The 4456-nt window shown below is 48.1% G+C and overlaps 1 annotated feature.

Annotated features, from left to right (window-relative positions):
• Positions 3380–3933: an enhancer, noted in NCBI's record as "H3K4me1 hESC enhancer chr10:72892357-72892910 (GRCh37/hg19 assembly coordinates)". NCBI's record gives its function as "activates a minimal SCP1, AML or CMV promoter by ChIP-STARR-seq in naive H9 embryonic stem cells {active_cell/tissue: H9 hESC(naive)}" and the evidence as "EXISTENCE:reporter gene assay evidence [ECO:0000049][PMID:30033119]".

Consider the following 4456-nt stretch of genomic DNA (forward strand, 5'->3'; position numbering starts at 1 on the left):
TATTCTTCAGAGGTATTTGCATTTCTTATATATCTTTCAAGATATATATTTTTATAAATCCATAGCATGCACACACACAGACACACACACACACACAGCCATATTGCCAGGCTGTTTTGTAGCTTTTTTCCACCAAATGTGTCGGAGCTCTTTTTATATAAGCGCAGGTAAGTCTATTTCATTCTTTCTAGTGGCTAATGCTAGTTCAGTTAACAGGTAAGCCAGTGTGACCAGCCACCTAGTGACTAATGTTTAATTTGTTTCTAATGCTTTCTCAATCTTGCAATGAATATCCTAGTACATATATATTTGTGTTATGTGATCAGATCCCTAAATGCAAAGGCACAGGCATTTAAATTTTTGATCAATATTATTAAACTACACTTCAAATATAGCAATTTACACATTCAACAACCATATAGGCAAGTGCCCCTGTCTCCATATCCTTGCCAGCATTAAGTTTTATCAGATTTTAATTTTTGCTAATCTGATGATCTACAGATTAAATGTCATTGTTGATTTGCATTAATCATGAAAGATTGAGCATATTTTCATACGTTTATTGGTCTTTTGTATATCTATTCATATCCTTTATCCATTTTTCATGGGCTGTATATCTTTTTTTAATTTTTTTTTTTTTTTTTTTTGAGATGGAGTCTTGCTCTGTCACCCAGGCTGGAGTGCAGTGGCGCGATCTCAGCTCACTACAACCCCCACCTCCCGGGTTCAAGCAATTCTCCTGCTTCAGCCTGCTGAGTAGCTGGGATTACAGGCGTGCACCACCACGCCTGCTTAATTTTTTTGTGTTTTAGTAGAGATGGGGTTTCACCATGTTGGCCAGGCTGGTCTCCAATTCCTGGCCTCAGGTGATCTGCCGGCCTCAGCCTCCCAAAGTGCTGGGATTACAGCCATGAACCACTGCACCCGGCTGATTTTTAAGATCTGTTTTTATGATAGAAAAATTAATCACTTGTCATATTTGAAGCAAACATTTTTATAACTATGTTTTATTTTGGAGAGGCATTTTTTCCATCAATGTGTTTAAAGTTGTTTGTGGAGCCAAACACAATGTTTTTTTTTCTTTTTGTTTGCCAGACAGCTAGCTGCTTTAAACAAGTTTGCTTCTTAGTATGAATAAGCTATCTTTGAAGCTTTGGGAAGAACTAGCAGACATGTTTGCAGAACCTGAAACAACAATGCTTGAAAAAACATGGAAAACAAAAGGGGCAAAAGGAGGTCAATGAATGTCCCAGTTTTCCAAAAAAGAGAAAGATAGATTCCAGAAATGTCAGGCAAGTTAATTTTATGCTAGTTCTGAGTAAAACTGTAGAACTGATCACTAAGCTGGTAGTTCAAGAACAACGACCAAAGGGCATGTGGGCACCAGGAGGAAGTCATGCCAAACCCACTCAGTCCCCATTTTTGTTAAGGTCACTGGACACATAAATCAGAAGATTGCTATACATCCAGAATTTCTGGGTTTCAGCAGGGTGTTTGATAAAGTCTTTCAAGATTTTCCTGTGGACAAGGATGTTAGCTAGATCCATAGCTGGTTGAACAACCATGTCCAAAGAGACCTAATGAATGAATCAATATGAAATTGGAGGGTTCTCTAGAGATGACAGGGCTCTCTATGAACTTGACCAGGTCTTGTTTAATGTTTTCATCAGTGGCTTGAATAAAGGCACAGAAGGCCACTTATCAGATTTACAGAGGACACAAGGGTGGGAGTGAAAAAGCTCATATGGTGGCATGCTGGAATCAAGATACAAAAAAATTTCGACAGCTTGAAACAGGGTTAAGAAGGGTAAATGTAAAATCCTGCACTTTTCTGGGGGAAAGAATGTGAATAAGCAGAGCTTGGGAGAGATAACGAGTTAAAAGCAGTAATTTATGCGGAAAAATACATGCCAATTCAAGATGTGCCTGGTTGCCAAGGAAAAGTCTTAGGTCCCAAGAGGGATTGGTTCCACTCCGCTCCGTCCTGCTGTCATCATGAGGAAAAGCCCGATGTTCACCTGGAGAGGACTCCAGGGGATGTGACACTGATACTAGCCGTGGCAGGGCTGGCCTGAGAACAGAGATCAGACCGGTGCCTCTGGCTGCAGCCAACTAGACGAGACTCAGCCGATATAATTACCAAAGGGAAGCTGAGGCTCACAGAAAAGAACTTTCTAAGCCGCGGGCTGCCTAAGAGTTACAAGGTCCACACCCAGGCTGGGAGCTGCCTGGCTAGCTTCTGACCTGGGTACAAGGCTGCAGCAGATCACTCTGCTATCGATTTGGATTCCATGATTCTGAGATTCATGTTCAAAGTCACCTAGATCTCCCAAGGACTCCAGGAAGAGAAGATGCCTGCTCAGATGAGCCCACAGATGGCTCCTGCCCCTGCCTACCTCCTGATGCCTGCAAGGTGGGCAGCTACCAGTCGTGCCCTGGGCCTGCCTTGTCCCTTTTGGTGCCCCTCTCTGGGCTGGACTTGGACTGGTAGAGTTCCTGGAGGTATTCAAGTGTACCTGCCTTCATGTTAGTCTGAGAAATAGGGTCCCAGGGCAGGGTACGGGGGGATGGTGACAAACCCAAGGTCATACAGCAAGTGGGTGGCAAAATGTTCTTAGTTCCAGCACAGAGCCACCTCTTCCCACCTCCATGCAGCCTCTGCTCTCCCTCCTCCTAAGGTGGGGCCAGCCCTGAAGGGTAGGGCAGCATGGGAGGAGTGACCCGGTCCCACCAGCCAGATTCCTCCTAGCTCCTAGGCAAGGAGAAGCATGAGGGTTTGCCAAGCTCTGGAGATTTGAAAGCCACCCCTCACCCTAGCACTCGGGACATATATAAAAGCCCTTCCCCTTCAGTGGGCTCCATTATCTCCTTCAATCTCCATCAGGCCCCCAAGTCCCCCTGAATGAATACACAAACGCAGCTTCAAGACAAGCATCTACCAGCCCCGGGGTTAGCTGCTGTCCTTGAACCCTCCTGTGTAGAAATCCTGGACCCCCTCCTTGCCCTACACACATTTTGCTCCTCAGACACATTCTTTCCTCCTTGCCCGCTTTGGGAGTCCCAAAGACATTTGGGGGCCTGGTACTGGCCCAGTCACAGAGAAGACTCCAGCACCTGTCTTCTGAGCTCTGAGACTAGGCAGGCCTTGTGGGACTGGCTGGGAGGGCAGCTGACTTCTGAAGGAAACTTATGTCTGTCCCTACAGGCACCCCTTTCTGTGGCTGGAGGTCACTCACATCACGTGACACCCCCAGGCCACAAGCCCCCAGGGTGCTCTGCAACCTTCAGAATTTGTGACAGCAGCCCCCACACCACACACCCACACCTGCCCACAACGCCCCTCAGGCCCCAGCGCAGCTGCTGCTCAGTCCCCATCCCAGGCTTGGGCATAGTTTGAGGGTGTGGGCAGTTGGGAAGGCTCTGTCTGCCCAGCCAGCTCTGGCCTTGCACTGAACAGGCTGCAGCACACACCCCCTCCAGCCACTTCCTGCCACACACTCAGCAGCCCAGCGTCCTTTAAGCTCAGGGCAGCCCATTTCCACCCTCCATGGCACCTGCTTCCTGCTTCCTTCCCTCTCTTCCATCCTCCCTCTTCTCCCCTGTCCCAACAGCCCCAAGTCCACGCACAGCTCCGAAGTCACTTCCCAGCGTCCCCAGCTCCACCTGTCTGCTGGGGAGTGTGGTAGGGGGATTGAATATCGCTCTCCAGGTTCCTCTCCTCAGGCTTTTCAGAACCTTGGTTGCCTCCACACAAAACGAAGAGGATCTCTCCGATTCCTTTTATGTGCAGCATCGATATCCTAGTATTTCATAAACATCTGCACTTCCAAAATCTAGAGAGCAAACAGCTCACATGTGTCAAGTGCCTGTGACATACCAGGCTCCGTGTGTCATAGGCTGCATCTTGTTTATGCCTCCTGAAACCCTGAGGGGGGAAAGTGAGCAGACCTGCTTCACCCATGGGGAAACTGAGGAAGCACTGAGCGGTGACATAACTTGCCCAAAATGAATGAGCTGGTGGCTGGAGAACCAAGGCTGAAGCCAGGTATGGCATGGCTCCGAGACCACACATAGCCCTCCCACGTCACAGCGAGGCTTGGGGGAGGATCCCAGGAGATTCCTGAGCTCTGGGCTTCCACCTTATTTGTGTTGATCAGGATTGGAGCCTAGAAGAGCAAAGGCAACTCTTCCCTCTGTTGGCCATAAGCTCAAGGGCTGAGGACTTCTCCCCATTGTCAGCCAGGGGAGAGTCTCCAAGGGACCCCCCCCCCAACAAAGCTATAATATTGCCACCCAACTTTGTTCTAAGGACACCAAGAGATGGCCTTCCCACCTAATAGGGATTTAGGTTAACCAGAGAGATTTGTTAATTTTTGTTGAAGTTAATGAGAATCTCCTTCCCTGAGCCACACCAGGGGGTGGCCCCCTGCTCCCCCCTCGTCCCCGCCCCTTAGTC

Source organism: Homo sapiens, chromosome 10, assembly GCF_000001405.40.
Source record: "Homo sapiens chromosome 10, GRCh38.p14 Primary Assembly".
NCBI classification, from domain to species: Eukaryota; Metazoa; Chordata; class Mammalia; order Primates; family Hominidae; genus Homo; species Homo sapiens.